The sequence below is a fragment of the Homo sapiens genome, chromosome 6, assembly GCF_000001405.40.
Source record: "Homo sapiens chromosome 6, GRCh38.p14 Primary Assembly".
Taxonomy (NCBI): domain Eukaryota; kingdom Metazoa; phylum Chordata; class Mammalia; order Primates; family Hominidae; genus Homo; species Homo sapiens.
The window spans coordinates 53,829,779-53,856,864 of record NC_000006.12 but is presented as its reverse complement, the minus strand read 5'-3'; the positions used below and the strand labels follow the sequence as shown (position 1 = coordinate 53,856,864).

At 38.6% G+C, this 27,086-nt stretch overlaps 1 protein-coding gene across 5 annotated transcripts in view; it reads right to left on the bottom strand.

Moving 5' to 3' along the window:
- LRRC1 (leucine rich repeat containing 1) overlaps positions 1-27,086 on the bottom strand; it is a 129,121-nt gene that overhangs the window by 67,261 nt on the left and 34,774 nt on the right. For 4 of the 5 annotated variants that reach the window (XR_007059279.1, XR_001743505.2, NM_018214.5 and 1 more), the window contains exon 2: positions 14,638-14,755. Coding sequence is in view for 3 of the 5 variants with exons in the window: in NM_018214.5 (NP_060684.4) it covers positions 14,638-14,755 (118 nt within the window). In the remaining 2 variants the exon portion in view is untranslated. Of the gene's footprint in view, positions 1-5,926; positions 6,272-14,637; positions 14,756-27,086 lie in introns of those variants that run through there. The other variant, XM_011514727.3, reaches the window with a different exon arrangement.

Sequence of the window (27,086 nt, the reverse complement as noted above, 5' to 3'; positions counted from 1 at the left end):
CTCAAGGCCCTCCACCCCTGACATAGATGCCTGGCCTCCCACATCCAGGCTGTCCTTAATCGACTTCATGCTCCCTGCTAGGGCCAGGGTGATATGTGAGCCATTCCCCTGCCTGAAACCCTTTCATGATTCCCCACAGCTTTCAAGAAAATATTCCTTAGCAAACACACAAGCCTTTTGTGATCTTGCTGTCATCTCCCTCTCTAGCTTCATCTCTTTCCACCGGCTCCAGTAATTTCTTGCATTTCCCCAAATTCATCATGCTATTTCAAACCTTCAGACACACATTCATGTTATTTCATCTGCCCAGAAATGACCTTCTGAGACAAATGCAGATATTTGTCTCTATCTGCATCTTGCTGCTCAGAGCCTAAGTGTCATGTTTCCCAGGAAGTCTTTTTGATACTGCTTACTTCCCCCAAAATGATGGAGCATGCCCCACAACCTCCCAGCTCCTTCAGGAATACCTCTGAGACAGGACTTTCCACACTGTCCTGTGTCATCACGGATGGACTTGGTCCTTCCACCCTTCTGGCCTAAATCCCTCAAGAGCCACTGCTAAACTGATTTATCTCTAGCTTCTAGCACAGAACCCAAATTCATGGCACTGGTTAAATGTTCATGAAAGAATAAAACTCATTCTAAAAATTCGTTCCTGTCCCTACGTCCCTTATCACAATGAAGCATACACTGTTGCCAAGACTTTCACTATTGCTTGCTGTGCTATTCATAATGAAATATGTGGCCTTTATTTAGAACATTTCTTTGAGTTTATCTCTTACAATTTGGATCCCTAAGGAAGGACAGAACAGTTGCTAGCACAGTAAAGAAGGGTTTTGGAGATAAGAATAAACTCAACTGGCAGTGAGAAAGGGCTCCAGAAGACCAAAGCATCTGCTCAGAAGATGCCAATGAGCTGCAAAAAGGAGACCTCTTTACCATGCTCCAATTGTTCAAAACTGAAGGCTGAGTAGTTTGAGACAAGACCCAAAGGCAGGGCCCTGATGAGGAGGAAGAGCAGAAGGAATTTATCTTCTCCAACGACATAATGCATAGCTCCTGAATAGAGCAAGGACCTAAAAGGGGGCTGGGGTGGGGTGAGGAAGGCCTTCTTAAAGCAAAGGTGCTCCCTGTGATTGTGATAAAGCACATTTCCATGGCATTTGACTCCACTTATGGCTAATGTCAAATGGGCACAGGTCCTTGCCATGCTGTGGCCCATCAGTTCCTACCCAGGTAAACAGGCACACCACAATACAGGCAGCACATTCAATGTAAGATGAGGAAGCAGGAAATTCCAAAGACTCCCTCAGGTCCCCGAGGTGCTTGCTGCTGTGCCAACTTCGTTTCGGCCTCTGCAGAGAGACTTCAGTCCTCCTCAGCCTCTCTGGTGTTACTTAGGTTTCCCCACTGGCTCTGGGCTACCTTTTGTGTTGGGCCTGTGTTGAGTTACTGGCACTCAACCTTCCAGTTTTGCCTAATTTGCTCAGACCCACTTGTTCATCTTAACCCAGCACTCATTCATTCACTCGCTGAATGGAAGGCTTGTTCTTTAACATTTTGTAAAACAAAGATTAAATACTTCAAGACATCAACTGTTAATGTTCATGGTATGATACTTTCACCAAGCACCTCTATAAGCAGAGTGTTTTGTTACATAAATACAGGCTGATTGCTTCAGAGTATCTTTTAAAAGCTGCACATTTGTTTGGCCTGCCTCTGCCCACATTCTTTCCCTCTGTACCTACATGGCCCTGGGTACCAGGAAGCCCAAATCAGGTAAAGACTTTGAAACTGCTTACTCACCTCTTTCTTCACTCTGTCTGGCTGACTTTTAACTTATCACAACCTTCTGGAAATCCCCCTGTCTTGTCGATTATCTACCACACATCAACCTTACCTTTGAAACCTAATAGCTTCCTGTTGATGTTCATGTTATAGAAAAGGCAAAAGTTATTGATTAATCTGCCTTTTTAAAAAACTTGTGCTTAAGTGCAAACAATGGCATGACAAATGCTTACAACCTATGTTAAGTGAATAAAAAGCAAGATAGGAATATCTATTTGTTAAATGATCCCAATTTTATAAAACAGAAATGAAAAGAGAAAAAGATAAATAAAATGTACAAAAATGTTAATGATTATTTCTGGGTAGTGGGATATAAATGTTTTTATACTAGGGAGACAGAATTATGATTTTAGAGTTCAACAAACTTGAGACAAAATACCAATTCACTACTCATGAGTCACACAATCAAAGTTTCTAACCTGAGACTCAGTTTTGTCACCTGTAAAAAGGAGATGGCAAGCTTATTTCTCGGAGACAGTTTGAAGATTAAATGAGATAATATAATACATATGAAGTACTTAGCCTCATACCTGGTACACAGTAAGCACCCAATAAATATGTTGATGAGAAGGATTCACACAGTTCTCTTTGCTTTTCAACAATGTTTCTTTATATTTCACTATTAATTCTCAACAAAGAACATGTACTTTAAAGAACATAAACCAGAAAATAAATGATCCTAATAACTGATTTCTCTACCCTTCTTGGAGTGCTCTTCTTAGTCTTCTCAGGGATAGGTCAAATTTAACTCACTTCATTGATACCAAGTTAAAACAAGGAAACCTGCTGAATTAACGCTACTCTATATTGCAAAGAAGAACTTCAAAGAGGCAAGCTTATTGGCTGCTTGAAGCAGAGCCTCGTGTAGTACACTACCAGTGAGACAAAACTTGGTGGCTAACCAGGTCAGAGTTGACCAGTTGCCAGGTCAGTTGGTTTGCTCAGAGAAGATATGACTATGGAAATGTGCCACACTAAGAAAATTTCCTTGTGACCAATGTGAATGCTAATGGAACTAGGTACTGATGTCATCACGTTAGTGTATCACCTCTCCTCAGCACCCATATCAGAAAATTAGATGCCCCATCACAGTGCTTAGTGAATATCCACACCTTGAGAAAGGATCACGGGATGATTTTCATCATCAGTAATCAGAGATGGACAAAGTCATCTCCATAGAAGAAAGCTACACCTGCTTCCAAGGGACCTGGGACACTCATGTTATCAAATCCCTTTACTTTTCCTTCAAAGGTAAAACCAATACATTCCTAGTATTTGTCTTTCCTGATTATCACTACACTTCTGGCAATGCTTCAACCTTTTGCCAAGACAGCACAACAGTTACCCCAGAAATGTTATGTCAGATCTTTCTGTGAAAGCTCTTCTACTTTTTATGGGATGATACCCCATTTCTAGCCATAAAAGATTTACACGCTGGGTGCAGTGGCTCACACCTGTAATCCCAGCACTTTGGGAGGCCAAGGCAGGTGGATAACCTGAGGTCAGGAGTTGAAGACCAGCCTGGTCAACATGGTGAAACCCCGTCTCTACTAAATATACAAAAATTAGCTGGGCGTGGTGGTGAGCGCCTGTAATCCCAGCTATTCAGGAGGCTGAGGCAGGAGAATCACTTGAACCTGGGAGGCAGAGGTTGCAGTGAGCCGAGATCACACCATTGCGCTCCAGCCTGGGCAACAGAGCGAAACTTCGTCTCAAAAAAAAAAAAAAAAAAAATATGAACCACCTGTTATTTATGTAATACCACCTGAATGTTGGTATTCCCCAAATTCACCTGTTCAAAATGAATGCCCAATGTGATACTATTAAAAGGTATAGCCTTTGGGAAGTAAGTCAGGAGGACTCTGCCCTCATGAATGGGATTAGTGCCTTTATAAAAGACACTCAACTAGAGGAAGATGGAACAATAAAAAGAAAATAGAAGGGGGTAATACGAGCTCCCCTGCCCTTCCACAATGTGAGGACATGGCAACAAGGCACCATCTTTGATGCAGAGAACAAGTATTCATGAGACGCTGAATCTGCCAGCACCTGGATCTTGGACTTCCCAGCCTCCAGAACTGTGAGCAATACATTTCTCTTGTTTATAAATTATCCAGTCTAAGGCATTTTGTAATAGCAGCCCAAACAGACAAAGATACCACCTCTTAGAGTTGGCCATTTCTACAGGTGGTTGAACTTATTCACTAGTAGTTTTATGGGTTTTTTTGCAAGTTTAAATGTCTTAGGATCACTTTTTCCAGTTTTTATCTTCAAATTCAGAGGGTAACTAGTCTATACACTGTCCATCCTTCCTCTCAAAATAACTATCAGCTCTGCCCTTATTATCTTCAATAAACTCCAAAAACAATGAAAAGCACCTCTCCTCCTGGGTTCCTTATCTCAGGTCCATCACTAACTAGGAGTATGATTTGGGGCACATGACAACTTCTTTAAGCCTCAGTTTCTTCATCAGCCATCCCTGAGATGCTAATAGCCACACCTCACAGAATTAGTGTGTGGATTAAATGACACATGTGGTGAAGCAGGACAATGGCTGGCATATGGGTGCACAGTATCTAGAAGTTGTCTTGAGCCGAAACCTCACTTGTATCACTCTATCCCTCATGCCTGCTTGTGTCCTCACACCCACCCTGTATTCTTACTTGGACAGTCCTCTCGCAGCTTAGTTCAGATTTTCATGATCCAAAATGAAAGATGATAGAATTACAGCATCTATACGGAGTGTTCATTCTATGAAAGGCACTATTCTAAGTTGTTTATGTTAATTTTTCTAACAAAAAGCATACTTCTAATTTAGTGGAGGTATTTACATGCACAGCCTCTTTTAAGAGTCAAAAACATCTCTATACAGTAGGTGCTATTAAAATCATTTTACAGATGAATAAACTGAGGCAGAGAGAGATTAAGCAATTTGTCCAAGGTAGTGATCCCTAGACACACACACTTAAAATGATGACATATTGCCTAAAGTGAAGTACTTCAAGGATTCCTCAAACATAAACCTCTAGTTTCTAAAACATATTTTTTAAGAATGTAGTTTTTAAAACTTCAAATAAAAAAGTCGCAAACACTTGCATAGGTTTTATGCTAACTATTAACTTATCAGTGGCCATCAATCATGTTAACTTATGTCTAGGTTTATGCATTTATGTGCAGTTGTGGGAAGGCAGGCTACCCTGTCCTCTTTGGACAGGCATCTGAGTTTCCTATAAACATGTTACTCACTAGGAAGTTGTGAAAGTGCAATGAGATTTTGTGTGTGTATGTGTGTGTGCGCATGTGTGTGTGTCTGTGGTATCTATGTTTACTAGGTGTGATGGTTACTTTTATATGTTAATTTCACTGCACCACAGGATGCCAAATTTAAACAGTATTTATTTCTAGGTGTATCTGTGAGGGTGTTCCTGGATGGGATAAGCATTTGAATTGGTTAGACTCAAAAAGGAGACTGCTCTGCCCAATGTAGTGGGCATCATCCAATCTGCTCAGGACCTGAATGGAACAGACGATGGAAGGAGGAGGAATTTGCCCCTTTTTGCTTCATGCTTGCCTGTTTGAGCTAGAACATCATCTTCTCCTGCCTTTCTATTGGAATTTCCACCCCTGGCTTCCCTGGTTCTCAGGCCTTCAGACTCAGACTGGAATTACACCACTGGCTTTCCTGCAGAGGGCAAATCCTGGAATTTCTCAGTCCCCAGAAATATATGAATTAATTCCTAATAAATCTGTCTCAGAGAGAGAGATTAGGAATAGATTCATATATATATGATTTATATATATATATATTCACGTGTGTGTGTGTGTGTGTGTGTGTGTGTGTGTCCTATTAGTTCTGTTTCCCTGGAGACATCTAATAAACTAGGCTTGAGTGTGATCAGTGGCATAAAACCACATAATTCCAGCATTCAATTAAGTGCCAGGTGTAGCAGATGATCTAGTGGTCATCAATGGTCATATTTCTTCTCCTCTTCTAGCTAACTGAATTTCCCAGCTCCATTCAATTAAGTCAGGGGCATAAAATTGGCCATAGAGTGTTGATAGAAATGGTGTACACTACCTTGTTGGCATAGTTCGTAAAAATTTCCTAGATGCAATTCTCCTTTTTCTTCCCCTCCCATAAAGACTTTGTGGCCACTAGTTGAATAAAGATGTGACATCACAAGAAGAAAGAAGCCTGGATCTCTGAAAGACTCTATGGAGCACAGCCTCTTACCACCTACTTCCCCAAGGTAATAAGCACACACACTCTAAACTGTAAACTGAACAGCAATAAAATTCCTCACCGTGTTAAGCCACTGAGATTTTTAAATCAATAGCCTATGCTAATGCACAGAGCTTAACATTTCACCTAGCAAAGCAAACCCTTTGCAACACAGTATCAGCTATATAATAAAAAGAGAAAGAATCCCATGACAATTCATATAGCTTTGTTATTATTATGCACTGAGTTTTAGTTATTATGTTCTTTGATTTTTTGATGAACCTTAAAATTTTCAGTGAATAGTTCACAGAGAAGCACTCAGATATCTGCATTTTTAATGATATTGTTGACTCCATAAAGCTACAACAAACATTTGAAATAAATTTCTAACAAACGACAAATGACAACCCAACTGAGAAACCCACTCATTGACTCCCTCTAAATTTGCTACCAAAGTATAAGAACTGTTACACTGCTTGTTACCAACATCTAATCAAAAATGTCTTTTTCTTCTTTCATGTCTTTTTCACATCAGTTGCTACTGATCCTAGTTACTGACACTTTTCTGAACATAATGAGCACTTCATTTATACCACAATATAAGTTATTATATTTGTCTATTGTGCCTGTAGAGTTATTTGTTATTTCCTTAAGGGATAGAACAATTTAGCATAGAGCCTTACATTTAGTAAGTACTCAATAAATACTGCTTGAAGTAAAAAAAAAAAAAAAGAAATCTTATTATGAGCTACAGTTGTTAACTGTAAGCATTTTTTAAAGTGCCAGAGTTTTAGGCTTTTTCAAACTGAAAAGAATACAGAATCATTTTTCTTTTTTTTAAAAAGGGACTTGCTCTATCCCCCAGTCTGGAGTACAGTGGCATAATCATAGCTCATTGTAAACTCAAGTTCCTGGACTCAAGTGATCCTCTCAAATTGGCCTCCCAAGTAGCTGGGACAACAGTCACACACCACTATGTTTTTAAAAATCATTTTCATTATTCACTTTGAGCCGACACCTTAGTTAGATTAAGGACTTATTCAACACTTATAAAGCTAATTTAAGAATCATACCATTTCTATATTTAATCTTCAAATTGCAGTTCTTAGTACTGCTTTTCATTCCCTCTTTCCCTCTTGGCTCAAGTCCCTTTCCAAGATTTGTCTTTTCTAGCTCAGTAAGAGGAGAGCGCTGTTTGCAGTGGTGCGAGCATGTTGGTGTTACCATCCTGACAAAAAGATGCCATCCAACCTTCAGCTGCCTGGAGCCTCAGCACCATTTGGCTCAGCCAGATTCACACGGCAAAATGGGTGGCCTCAAAATCAAAATGATGTGAGCACTGTGGCTGGAAACCATCAACCTGATACCTACAGAAACGGCCTAATTAAAAAGTGAGCAGAAACTGTCATCCCATATGTTAGGGTTTTGTTTTATTTCAGGAGAAACCATTGCAATTATTTTTCCTTCCATAACTTAGCCTGTTCGGTTAAATCCACCATTGTTTTAGAAAAGTCAAGATCTAACACAGAGCGTAGCATGTACGGATAAAGTGAATGAATGAGCTAGGGAGGGATGGAGTACGAAGATAAGGAGCTATTTAAAATAGACAAAACATTGAGAGAACCTGTAACTGAATGAAGAACTTGTTGACTTAAAAAACATATTCAAAGGTGTTGTTCTCAAACTCAGATCTATCACAACAAACCTGCTAACTAAAAAAAAAAAAAAAAAAAGCATAGGCCGGGCGCAGTGGCTCACGCCTGTAATCCCAGCACTTTGGGAGGCTGAGGTGGGTGGATCACCTAAGGTGGGGTGTTTTAGACCAACCTGATCAACATGAAGAAACCCCATCTCTACTAAAAACACAAAATTAGCCGGGCTTGGTGGCACACGCCTGTAATCTCAGCTACTCGGGAGACTGAGGCAGGAGAATCACTTGAACCTGGGAGGCAGAGGTTGCCGTGAGCCAAGATGGCGCCACTGCACTCCAGCCTGGGCAACAAGAGCAAAACTCTGTCTTGGAAAAAAAAAAGAGTAAAAGAAAAAAAGTTATGTAAGCCTACAACTTATTCATCAGTCATAACTTTTCTGATTACAGAATATTAATATTAACAGAATAAAGAGGAACGGCAGTTTACTCTTCCATATATATGTTCTGACAAAGCAAGTGGAAGGAAGATCACTTGACCCTCTGAAAGCAGACCGAAAAGACCCTTCCAGATGGGAGCAGAAAAGGACTATGGAATGGCAAGAAGAAAATGGGTAAAAAGTGTAAAATATACTCATCAAAAGAGACATATGTGTAAAGTTTATCCCAACGTTTTCAGCGTTTGAAATGGAAACCATATCTTCATGTTTAAACAATGCTCGCTGAAATTTGCAGAATGGAAAGGTGATTAGAAAACATCACAGAAGCCTGATTCCTCTTCACCCCTACTTTAAAGGTAATTATAATCTGAAATTAAAATGTGTGTAGAAGGCAATTTATTTTTCTACATTAACTCTTCTTCCTAACAAAAGAGAAGGTAAAGGTTAAGGCAGAGAGGAGGCTCACAATGGGAAAGCGGATATATTTGCAAAGCAAGAATGCAAGCTTTGGGCTCAACACTGCCCAGCCAGCACAACCTAAGGTACAGTGAGCATAGAGGCGTGCTCCCTTTGCTGGATGTCTCCTGTGATATTTTAACAATGACAGTGACAACAAAACTCTCCTACTGTAATGTATGAAGTCCAGCCACTGGGGCAGTTTGCTAAAGAAAGTGCTAAATTTGGGCCCAAATTAGGCTGCAAGAAAGGAGAGAACAATGGCTTAATTGTGGCAAGTCTGAAGTCCGCATGGGTAAAAACTTGTTTCTACCACACTTCTGGTGTGTGTGTATACAGTTATTACAAACAAACAAAAAAGGTTAATTGTTCATAACTAAGTAGGAGGACTTTTAGGCACACTAGAGTTACCACTTGCCAGAACGAGCTCTTTTCAGGGCATAAACAAAGTACCATGATTTGATGCTATCATTTCAACAGGGTTCGAGATTGGTTTTAGATCTTATGAAACAAATCCATAGCTATAGACCAAACATTGATCAGCATCTCGTGGTTGGACAGAGGACAACTAACCCAATCATGCACTCAAAGTCCAGCCTCTAGAAGAGGCTTTAGATGAGACAATGTCCCTACTGGTAGGCAGTCCACTTAGTCTGCAGTGCTGTCCTGATGATAGTGATGATTGTACTAAAACTATCTTACCTTTAAGTTCTTGTTAACTCAAGTTGATGAAATAATTAGTGAAGGTATGCAGTCTCTGGACATGTTTTTTTCTATCTGCAGTTCCATTTGCCCCATAAGAGAAATAAATTCATGAACTCTTTGGCACATTATGCTAATACTGACAAGTATTTCCTTAACTTCACCCATCTCTATTTCACCTTCACAATTTTTGCCATCCTGGTGTAGCCCCTGCATTCTTTATCATTTGCCTCATTCTTTTAAACTGACTTTTAAAATTTGGATGAGATTTTTAAAGGAAGAAAATTGTTTTAAATCACTAACACGAATTCAAAGCTATTATCACCACGAGATACAAAAGATAAATGTAACAAATACAATACAGTGTTATCAAATTTTACAGATGCAATCCAAAAGGAATAAAATTGAAAATAAAAGGATAACTTTCTCACCATGACTCAAAATTTAAAATTGCTGTTTTGCAGTACCAGTTAAAATCATCTCTAGCAGTGCTGGTAGTATACACCTTACACTTCGGGGAAAACTGAACTAAATGGATAATGACATAGTACTGTGATGTAAGTCAAATTACAGCATAGATTATAAAATTCAAATTACTAACCCTTGAGGCAGGAATCATGAAGCATTAAGAAAGTCTGCCCTAGATTCTTGAATAGCAAGATCCTACTATGCGATAATACCACTTCTCACATAATCAGAGGTCATTTTCCTCAAGCAGCTAATAATCAGTTAGCAGAGAAAGCAGATACAAGTTCCAAGCATTGAAGCATACGCATTTCACCACAGAAAACTGTTGCAGAACTTAATTCTAAGTCTGTACACTTTTTGTAGACAAAATGTTACCAGCAAATTCAGATATCTAGTTCATATACTCCAATCATCCTCTAATCTATGTTCAGGGGAAACACCTAGTTTTTTTTTCTCATATATGTTTTAGACATTTGCCTGTTTTAAAAAAACAAATCCACCAAGTTAAGACAAGAGAAGTGTGTCACTTTCCTTGACTCTCACTGGGCTCATACAGGGAGCAGGGTCTTGTCCCACTCCGCAAAAGAAGGCCCAGCGGCATCGGAAGGGGCCTGCCCAAAGTCGACCGCGTGCTGACAGCAGAGCCAGGGCTCCGAGCCAGGGTCCTCTCTGCTGAGCACATCTAGTCATTCTGGGGAAGAGACCATATGCACTGTGCTCATCCCAAGGCTCTCTACTTGTCCTTCAGAAAAAAAATAAATAAATCCTTGCAGCTTAGATAATCCATAAGCACTGCCCTCTTTTTCCCTAAACTCATGCTTCTCTTTTCCAACACAGCACACAATTCCCTTGACTTTGCGCCTAAAATGTCAGAAAACAAAGCCACAAAAGTCAGTGTTTGAAGGTCTTGGCAGTTCTTGGCCCAGAAAGTGAGGCTGTAAAAACTTCTCTCTTCATTTACAAACGTCTTTAAAGAGAAACGCAAAACCTGGGTTTTCTCCTCACTTGAGCAAGGAAACATCCAGAAAGGTCTAGTTTTGCTTTTAGAATCAAAGCAAACGTGAGCTAAAGTCAGCTCCAGCATCTTACCCTTTAACAAGGAATGGCCGGAAGATCTCCTATCTTCCACATGGGAGGGTGCAGGGGTGCCTGAGGGGAGTGAATGTGGGCTCCTAACCACAGGAAGCTGCTGAAGGAAAGTTAGCAGCAAGCCTGCAGGTGGTGATGTCTAAGATCCTTCTCCTTGGTGTGGCTGGGGACCAGCAGGGTTGGCATCCCCTGGGAGCTTCTTAGCAATACAGAATCTCCAGATCCACTCTGGATCTACTGCAACAGAATCTTCATTTTAACAAAAGTCTCAGATAATTCCTTGCACATTCAAGTATGATAAGCATTAACTCAATGGACTTTCTCCTCCATGGCCAAAACAATGCAAAATCAAGAACTAAGGAAGGTCCTATCATGACTGGCCAGCCCTGGTTATAACCCTGCTACAAACCACTGAGGCGGGGCAGGGACCCAAAGGAACAGCTTCTGATCAGAAAGTAGGCACCGCCATCTGGGGCAACAGAAGACCAGAGGCCCACACAGGCCTCCAGGCACCAGCCGCAAACCTCACAAATGCCTGCACCTGTACAAAGTCAGGTTCTCACATCGCCTCTCCAGCTGCAGGATTTGTGACTTTTATTTGCCTACTCGGTTACCTAGGGTATTCAGATTAACATAATTTTATCTGTCCAAAAAATGAGTGGAAGCATACTGAGATCTGCTTGACCAAGAAATGGCCTAAGACCCCTATACCTGTTGGTTACAGTAAATAGTGACCTTGTTCTTCTGCTCTGTCACCTGCACAGATTCGTTCTTTCTTTTGTTTGTTTGAGACGGAGTCTTGCTCTGTCGCCTAGGCTGGAGTGCAATGGCGTGATCTTGCCTCACTGCAACCTCCACCTCCCGGGTTCAAGCGATTCTCCTGCCCCAGCCTCCTGAGGAGCTGGGATTACAGGCACGTGCCACCAAGCCTGGTTAATTTTTGTATTTTTAGTAGAGTTGGAGGTTTCACCATGTTGGTCAGGCTGGTCTCGAACTCCTGACCTAGTGATCCCCCCGCCTTGGCCTCCCAAAGTGCCGGGATTACAGGCGTGAGCCACCGCACCCAGCCCAGGTTCACTCTTTCTTTTAATAACCTCCAGGAAAGCCCTGAACCTTCCATGCTGTCTTCCCCTCTACCCCCACATCCACCACACACATAATGCTACTGAGCCAGAGCCAGGCCCTGTCAAGAAGGGAAGGGAATGGTTAACTCCCTCTCGGCATTTCTAAGAGAGCTGGATAAGAAGGTGAACGTTCTGCAGGATCCCTCACAAAACTCCAACACTTGCAGAAGGAAAGGTTGAAAGTGAGCGGGGAAAAATACAACAACAACAACAACAACAAAAAGCAGGGTAGGTGTTCCAAGGAGCAGAAACATTTTTGTGTCCTGATACTGTCTTCAGTGAAAGCCTAGTTTCTTTTATCAACGTGCTGGAAGGTAAGGGGACACACGGGAAGATGCATGGAGCCCTTCTTTCTAGCTACAAATGTTTGAAAAGAGCTGATGTGGGAACTGGTAAAACTGGCAGCTGACTAGTGCTGACTTCCCACGGAGCATCCCATTAGAGTTAATTACGGGACTGGGAACTTTTGAGCTGTATGGTTTCCTTCCGCCCAAATAGTCAGAGCCAAAACTTTTCGTCTTTCTTAAGTATTTCTGTTTATTTCTAATCCCCATTTCAAAATTGCTATGTATTTCTTCAGATTTTGTGACTTTCGTGACCATTTTACAAAGTCACTGCTTCCTTGCAGAGTTAATAGCTAGTCATTCTTTATAACTTAGGTAACTGCTAGGACAAGAGAATCATTTCAATCACATATACCTTGGGAAAGTATTATACAGGCTAGTTTCTGAGGCAATTCTGGCCTGGCCAGACCCCAGATGCCCACCCCACCCCATACTCCAGTGTAAGCGAAGCTGCTCATCAACAACTTCTGTGCTGAGGGGCAGGGCCATGCTTTGTACTGGTTGCCATCCAACTCCCAGGGCAGCCAACCTTTAGGGTGGCTGGTAACCTGACCTGTACCCTATGTCTTATGATTGGCATAAAAAGATAAGTTGGGTCAACCACTCTTCACTGAGAAATCCTTCACTGGCAAACAAATGCTGCAGCAGGGGCAAAAGTCAAACTGTACGTAAAGAGAAGTCACAAAAAGAGGCCACCACAAGCCAGTTCCAACAGAGCAGTTCAGTGAGGAGGGAAGAACAGAGAACCCACAAACAGAAGTGGACACACTGGAAAAAAGAGGCCATGAAACCCCCAAGATAGTGTCAAATGCAAGCTTGGTGCCACTGCTTTTGGTGCATGTTAATTCCACCCCGCCTTCCTTACAATCAAATCCACTTTATCTAAGTAGATCTGGGTTCCCTGCGACCAAATAAGCCACTCTAAAACAAGACACCCTCCCCCAAAAAAGTTTTGTTTTACTTTTTCTAGTACCTTCAAAGTAAGAAATAATTTTCATGCAAAATAGAAGAATGTCACGATCACATGGCTAAGCCAGAAGACAGTTTCTAATTTATGGAATGTAACAGATAAAAACAATTTAAAACCTATTAGAAGTTGTTAGAAAGGAGGAATCATTTTTTTCTTCACCATATTTCCAACCAAGTACTGATTACCATTGCTGTATTATAACAATGACCCACAGAAGAATTATATGTCTGGGACCTGGGGTTTTTGCCAAAAATATCAGACTGAAATATACAGACCTAAAGATAATCAATTCAGAAGAAACCTATAGATTTTTGTAGGAAAACAGAAGCAAAACACAAAATAAATCAGGTATGTAATAGGAGAGAAATAAAGGAATTACCTTTTTAATAAATAATTCAGACCTTGTTCAAGACTATCCTAAGGAAATTGTACCAGGGTCCTTACAAGAACTGAATTCCATCACTAGATAGGACCACTGGGAGTTGCTACGTTAATTTAATAAATCAAATATGCTACAACAAGGAGCAGTACCAGCCCATTTGGGAAGCACTCTAAGGGGTATAAAACTGAGGGTTAAACCAAGGTACCCATTTAAAAATGAAAGGCATTTGAGTATCCCATTGGGGTATCTATTAGGATGCCCTATTCAAATGTTCAGTAAAAATGAATCAATAGTGGGATCTGAAAATCAAAATAAACTCACAAATATACCACACAAATTGAAGTGGGCAAAGCCACCAGCAGCCTAATTAGAAACACATTAAGACAGAAGATGCCTGAACGCAAGCAGGTCTGTTCACTACAGGGAGAGCATACCAAGCAACTGAGACACAGCCAAGAGAAACCAACCCTTCCCCAGGGCAGGTTTCCCTTGCCACAGCAGCACCCAAGCACTGGACAAAAACCATGCCACCAGTCCTCAATATCATGTTCAGCAAAATAAGTGGACAAGGTTAAATGATTGCCCAGCCCACTCTCTAACTCTAGGAATCAGATTGAACTTATTTGGAGAAAGCTGTCTCCTAAAACTTGTGTTATGAAATTTTTTTTGGAAAATGCCTATAAGTTAACTGACCTATTCAAAAATGGCATTAATTTCACCCCAAGAATCATATAGTTTTCCCATAACTATCAGGGAAAGCACCTCCAGTAATATTTATCTAGCTATATTTGGGACATGGATGAAGCTGGAAACCATCATTCTCAGCGAACTATCACAAGGACAAAAAACCAAACACCGCATGTTCTCACTCGTAGCTATATTTACTAAAAACACCCCCAGCATCTGAAGAGACAAATAGGCAACCCAAGTGGAATCTTTCTTACCATTTCGAGACACATCTAGTTCCACCAGCTGCATGAAGTTTGCTATTTCTGGAGGGAGCCGCTGAATTTCATTATCACTAAGTCCAAGCTTTCGTAATTTGACTAGCTGGAAAAATTGCTGAAAGACAAAAGAGTTTAACATAGATTTCACATATGTTTGTATCATAAACTTTTGGGCTACTATGAAATGTAAAACAATGTCTTTTAAAAACTAATGAAGGTTGTAGCAACATCAATTTCCTAACTTTGATGGCAGTACTGTAGTTGTGAAGATGTTACCATTGGGAAAAACTGGGTATAAGGAACCTCTCAGTACTATTTTTGAACTTCCTATCAATCTACAATTATTTCAAAATAAAAGGTTTTTAAAAATTAATGAGCAACTTAAAGAACAGTCACTCCTTTAAGCTATCCAGTAGACAGAAATATCGACTTATGAAAATTGACATTAAATCTGCAATGCTAAAGACATGTAAAAATGTCTTTTAAAAATATTATTTAAATTTTAAAATATTTTAAAAAGACATTTTTTAAAGAAATTATTGTATATCAGAAAGTATAATAAATATCCCACAAATGTGTGCAAGCAAAAAATATATTTTTGACCAGTCTAAAAAGTCTGCACTGGATACTTCCATCAACCATGGCAGACTGAGTACATGCTCTTTCCCCATACTTTTTAAAAACTGTATTAAAATGACACTAAAGGAATTTATATACACATGAACATAAATATAATGTGAAATAAGCCCATGAAGACAGAAAATGAAAGAGTACAAAAAGCGAACTAGATATGCAACAAAATCCTTTAAGCTAGAAAACAGAGGGATGAATGGTAACTAACAAACAAATTGAAACAAAGCTGAAATTTAAGCCTGTGGGGCGAGTAGCCAATAAGAAACTAGGTCCAGGTACCTCTGAGGAAAGGAGAACTGATTGAAAATTTATATAATGAACAGTTAAACTGCCATATTCTCTTCTCTACCCTGCAGAGCCAGGCAGGAGCCTGGAAATTTCCTCTCCAGAAGAGGTAAGTCCTACCACAGCTAAGCACAGCTGAGGGCAGGGGGTAACATAACCATGCTAAAAACAGGGGACTGAGACAAAGCCTGGTCAGTAAGATCCCACCCTCTCTTCTCCCTGCATCCCGGCTCCTGGGCATGAGCACAGACTTGCAGACACTAATCTTCCTATAAAGAAGCTTCAGGTTATAAGCCTCACCAACACACGGAGCTTCCAAACAGGCCCACCTCATCTGATCTCCACTGCCACATGCAAGAAAGAGAATGTGCGCGCACGCACACACACACACACACACACACACACACACACACACACACACAAACACATACCCCCCCACCCCAGAGGAAACAAACATGATGCAGGGAGCAGAAAAAATAATTCCTCAACCAAAAAATAATTAATATCCTCAGAGAAATCACAGATGAAGCAACATAACACCATAAAAAGCATAATTAGAAGAATTAGAAATAAGCTTTCAGAAAGTGAAAAATATTGTAGCATTGATAAAAGAATCCCATAAAAGAGGTGAAAAATAAAGTTAATAGAGTCCTCAGAAGGTGGAATAAAAAGACAAAAAGATGGGAAAGTGGGAGAAAAAAAGAGAGGAAAACTAATGGACCGGTTCACAAGGTACTACAAAGTAATTCGTAGTTGAAAGAGAGAAATACAGGAAACTGCAGGACATGCTTTTTCTGGTTTGAGAGGGCCCACCATGCGACCAATAAAATGAATGAAAAAAAAAGTACATACCAAGGCATACCATAAGATGTTAGAACTCCAGAAATTAGATTCTAAAAGTTTCCAGGCACAGGAAATAAAGGAAAAAGGTCTTAACAAAGAATTGGGTATCAGAATGGCACTGGACTCAAAAGCAACCTTGAAAGTAAGAGGGCAATAAAGCAATGCCTTCAAAATTCCAAAAAAATCATTATTCCCAACCTAAAATTATATACCCAGCCAAACTATCAATTAAGTATGATTACAGAATAAAAACATTTCAGTCACGCATGGTATCAAAAAGTTCAGTTTCCTTGCACCTTTCTCAGGACTCCATCAAAATATGTAAGTAAACTTAAAAGAAAAACAACCTGAGATCCAGGAAACAGAGAATCAACAAAACAGAGAAAGGCAAAGGAAATTCCCAGAATAAAATCATGAAGGGAATTCCAAAATGTTGCTTGAATATCAGGCCCCAAGAGCAACCCATCTACACTGCAGCAATATGACAGCTCCCAGAGGGAGGTTTTGAAAAAATAAATAAAAACACACCTGAGGAATTATCTGACATGTTTGGAAGTATCAAAGGAAATTTGCAACTCTTTCAGAATGTTTGGTGATAAATTAGAAATAGGCATAAAGAAAACAAAGCAAGCAAAAGGAAAGAGGGTTATTAATTCCAGGGAAAATATAAAGTGAAAGAATATATAATCATAATATAAAATTTGATTATGAACAGTACTTACAGTCATAACATTATAATATCTATATTGGTAAAACCAAAATTTATGTTATGTCAATATTGAGAGAATGGGAAAGAAACTGTAAGAACTAAAGCCTCATCTTCCACAAAAAGAAATCCATAAATAACTCAAAGAGGAAAAAAAATCAAGCCGCAAAAGTCATTTAGCAATATGGAGGCAAATATTCGCAGAAATAGTCAAAAGCCAGAAACCGGAGTGGGGAAGGAGGCAAGAGGCTGCTGTTTTTCACTGTCACACTAAACAGCTTATTAGATTTTTAAACTATTTGCATACATTACTCTGCTAAAAATAGAAATTGAATTTACAAATGAAGAAGTCTCTACTAAGATTACAGGATGCTCCAAATGTTAATTTTGTAGGATGCTAACATTTAATAGACTTTATCTTTCTTTTTTTTGTTGGTAAAAAAGATTGTATATTTATATAATCATACAATTGCCTCTTGGAAAGCAATTGAGCAATACGTAAAAGAAAAAATCTTTTCAAGTCCACTGAAATACTTCTGGACACCTGTCCTCATAACTGAAAATAATGCACAAATACATCTTTGCACTATTATGTGTAAAAATAAAAAACTAGAAAACATACATTTCAAATAAGAAAAATGATTGCATATTATTAAATAATTCAATATTATGCAACAATAAAAATAAATATTATAAAGACCACAGAACTTGAAAAAGATTTACCATGCAAATATAACTTAAAAAGAAAACAAAATTGCTGATACACTACATTAAAAAAGCATGTGTGCATGTGGACTGACAGGAAGAGAACAAAGAAGAAAAAAGCAGTTATGTTGGGTGACAAAGATAATGCATGAATGACTTTTTAATTTAAAAACCATATTTTTTTAAAAAATAAAATGAACTATAAATCTCAGCAAATGAATGCTACCAATTAGCTATACAAGATGATGAGGAAAGTGCTCAACTACAGGACTAATCCTTTGCATTTCTTTACTCATGCAGTTGAGATTTAATTTCTTAAGGAAAGATATTGAAATGTCTTTATACTGGCTGAACTAAAGCATCAGCCAGCACAAAAGCCATTCAATAGAGTCACGTATTTGAATAATTGAGCTTATGCCAATTGTACAGAGTCTTGACAGTTTCATAATACATCAATGTGTTTACTCAAGCATGAAAAGCTCACTTTGTTTTCTAGGAAAGGCATAATAGCAAAACTACAAAACCCATCACCATCTCCATACATTCTGGGACCATTCAGAAATAAGACAAGAAATCAAGTCAATAAGGTACTTAGATGTACAGTGAATAATAAGTTCACTTTACATCTGTGGAAACGATAACCTACAAATCCTCACATCCAATAGAAGTCATAACAGCATGCAAATTTAAGGTTTGGTTCTGCATGTTACCAGCATCCTCCACTAGAGCCTGTCACAAATACTACTTTATTCAACTTGGGAAGTACATGCCAGATGTAAAAACAACCCCATCTGACATGATCCCAAATGAAACCAGTAATTCCTTAATCCTTCCCTCATTATCCTGATGTGATCTTAATATGGTATCCAAAGATCAACACAATGCCAAGGAAACTGTATTAAATTCTCAAATATTCAGCTTCCTTAGAGAGTCAGGAAAAATAACTCACTAAGCTATAAACCCTTCTGCCTTGCCTTTGAGATCAGCCAGAGCCCATGAAAAACAATTCCTGTAGCTGTCTTGGCAGGAAGCCTCAGTGCAGTGCAACCATGTGACAGAACACACAGACACCATTCTTCAACTCTACCATGTTTGATTATAGCTCACTAACCCACTTAGAGCACATTCTGTACAATTATATGCAAAGGAACCCAAATTGCCTCGGGTTGTTATGCTACACCCATCTTCTTAGAGCCACCATTGCTTTTAGTAGATACAGCCTTTAATTTGGCTAAATGTTCTCCCATTCTCCATTTCTGACAAGATTCTTTTCCTTCTTTTTTGGTAAAGTGTTAGTACCTCCCTTCTGCTTTTTAGAAAGGGACAAAGAAAATCTCAGTCCTAGAAGAGCTGGGTCCCCTTTTATTATTATATGGCCAAGGATCAGTCAATTGTCCCCCAGTTGCCCAAACTTCTCCTCTGCAATATAGAGAAAACATAAACCATTGTTACAAATTCAAATGGAGAACAACTAATGTAAAAAATGCTATTAATTCCTGAAAAACTATGGGACTCCTAACTATAATAACACCAAATTTACTCACAGATTTCCTTCCCAGAGACATTCTAACCTATCACATACATCTTGACCCCTTTTCATCCTACATAACTCTCATACCATCCCTACTCCGGTCCCCATCAACCTAGACTGCCTTTTTGGTCAACCACCTGTATGTGGTTGCATGGTAAACCAACAGTTCTAATCTCAAGGTAAGATGCACAGTACACATCATTTGTGTCATCTGGTATTGTTCTTTTCTGTGAGACTTGCAAAAAGTGACTGTGACTTTGTTACCCAGAAGTTATACTACTAGGTATAGATCTTTAAAAAAAAAACTCTCACATATATTTTTTCCAGAATATATATATAAAAATGTGCTTGAAAGAATTATTTATAATACCCCAAAACTATAAAAACCCAAACACCCATAAATAGTGGATCTGATAGAGGTATTATACATTATTACAATGAAATTCTACACAGCAATGAAAATGAAAGCTTACCGTTAGTTATGACATGGATGAATCTTAGAGATAATGTTCAGTGAATAAAGCCAGGCACACAAAAATGCATACTATATTATTTCATTTATATGTTGAATAAATCACCTGAACTAATTTGTTTACAGATGCATACAGAGGCAATAAAACCCAAAAGGATAAGCAAAGAGTGATTCCTATAAAATCAGGTTAGTGGCTACCTCTAGATATAAGAGGGGGGATTATGATCAGGAAAAGCATTCAATGGAAGCAGAATATGTAATTTGATACAAGTTTTTGGAGTCATGGTAATGTTCAATTTCTTAACCTGAATGGCAGTGACAGATGTTCACTTTATAATTTGCTGTAAGCTGTAAATTTATGCTTTAAGTTCTTTTCTATATATGTGTTTTATTTCACAATAAAAAAAACTTTTTAAAGTTTTAGACTACTTACTAATTAGGAAGGAAAATACCAATTACCACTAAGGACATCCAATTATTTAATTCATCAAAGTTAATAATATTAAAGAGCAATGGCATTAGATCTAGAGGAGGAGGGAGAAGCGACCATTATAACCAAAACAACAATGATAATGATAATAATACAGCAGTTAACCTCTACTGAGGGACACTATATGTTTGGCAGTAAGCCAAACACTTTACATGGATTATACTCTTTAATCATCTCAAGGTTGCCGCAATACTGATACCTACGCATATAAGTTAGCTTTTACTGAATAACAAACCATCCCAAATTTGGTGGCTCAAAACTACATGGATTTTTATTCCTCACGTTTCTGTGCGTTGGTTAGGTAATTCCGCTGCTGCTCTCATCTGGACTCATGCATCTACATTTGGCTAGTGTCAGAAGGGCTGGAAGATCCATGCTGGCCTCACTGCTATGTCTAGCAGTTAGTGCCAGCTGCCAGCTAGAGCTCCTCTGTGCTCCACAAGGCCTCTGTCCTCCTCCCTTAAGCTAGAGTGGCTTTCTTATATGAAGCTCCCAGAGAGCATTCAAAAAGGGCAACGGCAAAAGCTGCAAGGACTCTTGGGGCCTAAGCTTGAAATTTGCCTGATGTTGTCCTTTCTGCCAATGGAAATTGGTCAAAGCAAGTCACAAAGTCGGCCCATATTTAAGGGAGTAGAGAAATCATCTTCATTTATAGATGGAAGGAATGGCAAAAATCATGTTAAAAAGAGGGAGAGGGTGGGAAAAAATTGGTAGATTAAATGAGGTAGAAACCTCAGATATGCCACAGAACACACATGAAAACTGGGTAGATTATGTACAAAATTCTATGGTTGATTATAGAGTAATGACTTTTCTAAAGCAAATCAGAAGAGAAAATAATACACTGAATAAACTTTGGCTAAGATTCTTTATATATGAAAAGGATATAGACAAAAAGAAAAGGCCAAGAAATAGTCACAGAATACTGAAAGAACTAGTTTGGTTAAAGCAGATAATTCAAACAATCATATCCCACATCCAGAATTTGAGTTTGAAAGGGTTTTAGCAAACACTCATAAATAAGTATTAGTTAAATAAGCGTGAATGAGACACTTTTTGTCAGTGTGTTTGGTAGAGGTGTGGAATAGGAATATCTCTGGGTGAATCACTTAACTTCTCTGGTCCTCTTGTTTTCTTGTGAAAAAATAGCATTAAATGATAAAGGGCTCTTTGTAGCTCTAAAAATTATAGAATTGCATTTCAAAATACCTTCCCTGTGCCAAAAGAAAAATGAAAATCCTGTTAGCACACAATATAACATTAAGCATGAAGTTAAAATGCATAAAATTACAGAAAGTAGATTAGCAGTTGCCTAGGAAATGGAAAACGATGGCTAAAGGATATGGGGTTTCTTTTGGGTGATGAAAATATTCTAAAATTGATTGCGGTAATGGTTGCACAACTGTGACTTTATTAAAAACCAGAGAATTGCGCACTTGGGTGAATTGTATGGTATGTGAATTATATCTTAATAAAGATGTCAAAAATGCACAGAATTGGTAGACATTAATGAAGAAGGAATTCCTATTAGTAAGAAAAGACTGGGCTGGGGATACACAGATACTTTTATTTATTTATTTTTATTATTATTATTTTTTGAGACGGAGTCTCGCTCTGTCGCCCAGGCTGGAGTGCAGTGGCATGATCTCGGCTCACTGCAACCTCCGCCTCCCGGGTTCACACCATTCTCCTGCCTCAGCGTCCCGAGTAGCTGGGACTACCGGTGTGTGCCACCATTTTTTGTATGTTTAGTAGAGATGGGGTTTCACCATGTTAGCCAGGATGGCCTCGATCTCCTGACCTCGTGATCCGCCTGCCTCGGCCTCCCAAAGTGCTGGTATTATAGGCACAGATACTTTTATTTAACTGAATCTCTATAACCAAGTGAGGTAGAGTTTTTTTTATCTCTAGTTAACAGATAAGGAAACTGAAGACCAGCAACTTTACTGGCTTCCCTGATACTGCAGACCAGTTAATAATATTCTTTAGGAAAAATTCCCAAACAGAGCCATGCTGGAGGATCACACAGTAGAAATCCTCAGATAACTACCTGCTAAACAAAAAACACTGGTGTGAAACTACATTCTAATCAGCTAACCAAAACTAAGTCATGCTGGAGGTGGAGGCGGGAGGGTAAGCTAGGAAAGAAATAACTACTAAAATTACCAATGCTGTCAGATTCCATCTTGATTGACAAGTTGCGAGCGGAAGAAAAGAGCATGCTAATGAAACCTACATGTGAGAGCACATAAGTGGGGTTGCTGCCAAACCAATCCAGACAGAGAGAGTAGACATGCAAGAAATCTAGACAGATAAGAATGAATCAACTTCTAGAGGATCAGGGGCACAGAGATATAACAAACATCCCGATAAAGCCTTGGGCAAGGGAAGGCTGAAAGAAACAGGGAAAGCAGAAGACAAAATTTGATACAAGTTTATAATACGATACAGCAAAAGGGCATACAAAGAAAAAAGGCTCAGCTAGGTCTAGTTTCTGAAGGCAATAGGGGAGGTATCACAGAGCAGCAGGACAGTCCTGGAGAAACTCAAAAGGATGACACTGTTCAACTGGCAATTAGAATTTTACTAATGCTGAACAATTTTCATAGACACAGAATGGAATTCCAGAGAATCACAAATACTTAAGAATTTGAAATACTGATTGACAAAATAGTTTATATTCATGTACTAATAGGCCAGGTGATAGACAATAAATATGAAATAAGATAAAGGGTTCAATCTCTAAATAAAACTAACCATTTATTCTATAATCTGAAGAGATATTTCTCCCTGCCCATCTATTTGCCCAGAAGACAAATACATGAAAGAGATCACAGGGGGAAAAAAGGCCTCTCCTGCTCTAAAATATAATTTTTAATAGGTTCATGTTTCAGAGGCACAAGTACCCTTTTCTTTATGCAACAAAGGAAAGAGTGCTGACTCCTTTCCTTGCATGACCAAATTTCAGAGAAGCAAATTAGTTTCCACTGAGTGTTAGCATGTGTGTGCTTGAGCATTTATAATAAAGATGCTTACATTTATTTTGTTCAAAATATTTATCTTTCTAATTTTTCTGGCCTCCCCTAATACCTTTATCCTCTCATTTGCTGGTATATTTTAATGTTTCCAAGGTGCTTTCATGCATTATTAAGCTGTCACCATTAATGATCCTAAACAAAGATATAAATGCCCCAAGGTTGCCCCCCATAATTAAAATAGCTCAAGGGTGAATCACTTTGAAAACCAAGAAACCAGGCATGTTTTCTGTATTGTGCTATGATCAGAAGGGTGGATCAGACTGGTAGTGGCAACTGCAATCACTTGGAGAAAAGAAGCTTTTACTAAAAGCAAAATGGATCAGGACAGCATTACTTTACTGGTAACTTGACTGAAGGGATGAGCTGTTGACATGGGAGGACCAGACTGATGGTGCAGATGGAGAACTGATGAGAGCTGGACCAAGCAGGGTTGGTACCTCAGAGGGAAAGATCAACTATGAGGAGAGAAAAAAGATATCGAACTGAAACTAACAATAGGGGAATGATTAAACACAGGATGGCAAATGCATACAATGAACTATTATATGGCCATTAAAAATCATGTTTCTGGAGAATATTTAATAATATAATAAACACTATGTTTTAGGGTTAAGGGAAAAAAGAAATGTAAAATTGTATATATGTACAGTATAAGTCCTATTTTATTAAAAAATGTAATAGAAATTTTAGGGAGAAAAACTGTTTTAAAAAGGTAAATCTGCTGAGAAAAAAAGGAACTTAGGCCAGATGACAGAGGATCATTCAACTTCTTGGTATTGATGTTTTGTACGACAGAAAATCAAAGATTCTACTCATCTAGAAAGGGTTGTTTTTCCTGCACATTTTAACCAAATGTATCATCAAGTAAAACTTGAAAAGAGGGGGATATAATCTGTTTACATACAGAAAAGAAAAAGGTTCTTTCAAAAAGCAGTCAAACAGATATCCAATAAAGTTTATTACAGTGTTTTTTATATTTTGATGTGCGATTTTCAATAAGGTTGCATTTTTCACACATTGTACTCAGGAAAGCATTACATGACTCAAATGGAATAAAATTTTGTTTAGTGGGCATTGTGCCGTGGATTCAATACAATTTATCCAAACTAATAGCAACAACAAGCACCACATACATACTATGCCAACTATGTGCAAGGTTTGAAAATGGAAGAGATTTCAAATAAAAAGTAGTCTTTATTCCTAAAGGACATCCAGGAAATGACACAGGAGAGGTGGATCAATAATTAAAATACAAGGTAGAAAATGAAAATCATAATGAGGCACAAACTGCCATAAAAGGATAACAAATGGCTCTTGTCATCATAAACCTTATCTGTTATGCTTCTTCCGAGAAAAAAACAAAAGTCAATTAGGCGATTTTATGGTCAGTCACATCATACCAATAGGATCAAAGATTCCTATGAGGCATCAAGTAAGAATGGGTTGTTCAGAGGAACTGCGTTAGGAAGATTCTTTCTGAATTTTCTCAGCAAATACACCAACATTAAAATCAGCACTCAGAGTACCTTCTGAAGTGACAGGCCGAGCAAAGAAAAAACTCACATAGGCAACACTGATAAGTCCTGATCATGGACAACAGAATACTTTAGGATTACCTATTATCCATGAGAGAATACCTTAGTTAATGTTTTTAATCTCCTTAAGCAAATACGTCGATACCACCCCTAGCCAAGGTTTGATGTTTCTGGACAGCAAGCAAGAAATGGAAGACTCAGGCATTGACATAGTACTTCAAAAATTAATCTGAGTTGACAGATTACAATCACTCAAGAATGGCCCATAACTCTCTAAGGCAACATTTAATGGCACTTTGAGTGCATACAAATTGTAAGTAATGGAGGAAAGAAAAGGACTTTATCTCTTACTCTAAGTAATGCTGAAGATGACCTAACTGTTTTAAACCATTATCAGGAGATCTTGAAGGGTCAGGGAGGGACCTGACTAACCAGTTAATACAATTTATTGCAGCCAAGAATTCATCTCTTAACAAACTGCAAGATGGATTAAGCCCAGCAATGGTAACCATGATATTGCTATATTTATTCTGGAAAGTTTGTTTCAAGGAATGCCAAAGCACTTTTCCAAAAGGGGCGGGAGGGTATGGTCAAGCAATAGAATATCGCAAATACTAAGAGAACAAATAACCCAAATATCAGATGCATACATACTGAAATCCCACAGGATTCCAAACAATTTAAATATGCAACTTGGCTTTTTGCATTTACAAAGAAGTCATGTGAACTGGATTGACTATGTAATGCCGTTTGTTCAGACTGTTAGGCCCTAACCAGATTTCAGGTATTCAGAAATACAATGATCCAATTATAACCATTGTAGAATTTAATAGTGGAGAAGGGCTTAACTTGCCTCAAAACATCTTCTAACATATTCTAAATATACATAAGCTAAAACATATATTGTGGTATTTCCACAATCAAAATTTAAGATTAAAATTGTGTGATTTTATTATGTTGGTGCAAAAGTAATTACAGTTTTTGCCACTATCTTCAATGGCATTATTCAATAATAACTATATATTATATATATATATAAAATTATAATAACTATTATTCAATAATAATGCCATTGAAGATAATGGCAAAAACCATAATTACTTTTGCACCAACATAATAAAATCACACAATTTTAATTGCAATAATGGCATTATTGAATAATGCCATTGAAGATAATGGCAAAAACCGTAATTACTTTTGCACCAACCTAACCAACCTAATTGTATAAGGGTTCCTCTCCAACCAGATAGGTTTACATTCCAAAGTGTTTACAGCTCCTGTAAGAGGCAGTCTTGCACCCTGAAAATAAATCCTCTCTAACATTTAAACTTCTCACACATACTACATTCACAAAGTTTCCTACTGGTTTACCAAAACAGTTAAGTAAAAAGGCAAGATGGAAAAAACTGAGAGTATATTCCCTAGCAACTCACAAACAGTTATGCAAACACGAAACAGATCTCATGCTGATCACCACATTTTGGCTCCACAAACAGAACTTAAATATTAAATTCTAATATTAATCCAGATGAAGAACCACAAAGACAAGGCCTAATTGCAAAGTTTTTTAATTCCCCTACTGTTTAAGGAACAAGGCAGACCATTAGTATCCAACAAAGTCTACTCAACTCCTATGTCCTGAAGTTACATCTGATTAGATGTTAACATCTAACAAGTCTGCTTTCTTTCTGACAAGAAAAGGCAAAGCTCCTTCAGAGCCACTTCTTTAAAAACTGCTCCTTTTGACAGACAGTCTTTACATTTTATTTTTACTGTTTACCAACAACCTACGTAAGATGTGGAACTAACACTCCTGGCCTTCGTCTAATATAAGAATGTGCAGAAATGTTGGGTAGTGGCCCGCAGGCCACCCAGTGAGCCATCTCACTACCACAGCATCTAAGGACAGTTCTTTCATTGCAGCTCAGCTCTTAAAATACAGTGTGCTTGTATTTGCTGACCAGCTGGTTCCTCTGCAGAAACACTATCTAGTGAGTACCTTGTTCAGCACATCACCTCAAGAGTTCTCTGAGTCAGAAACCTCTCTTTGTGACATGCAATCAAAAAGAATATTCAAGAAAAGAGGAATGCAGGAATTCTACAGGAAACTCCCAATCATAATCCCAAAGTAAAGTGTAAGAGCAACAGCATTCCTGCACCAGGAAGCAAGCAACAGCTCCCAGGTGTTCAGACCAAAGGGCACAATCC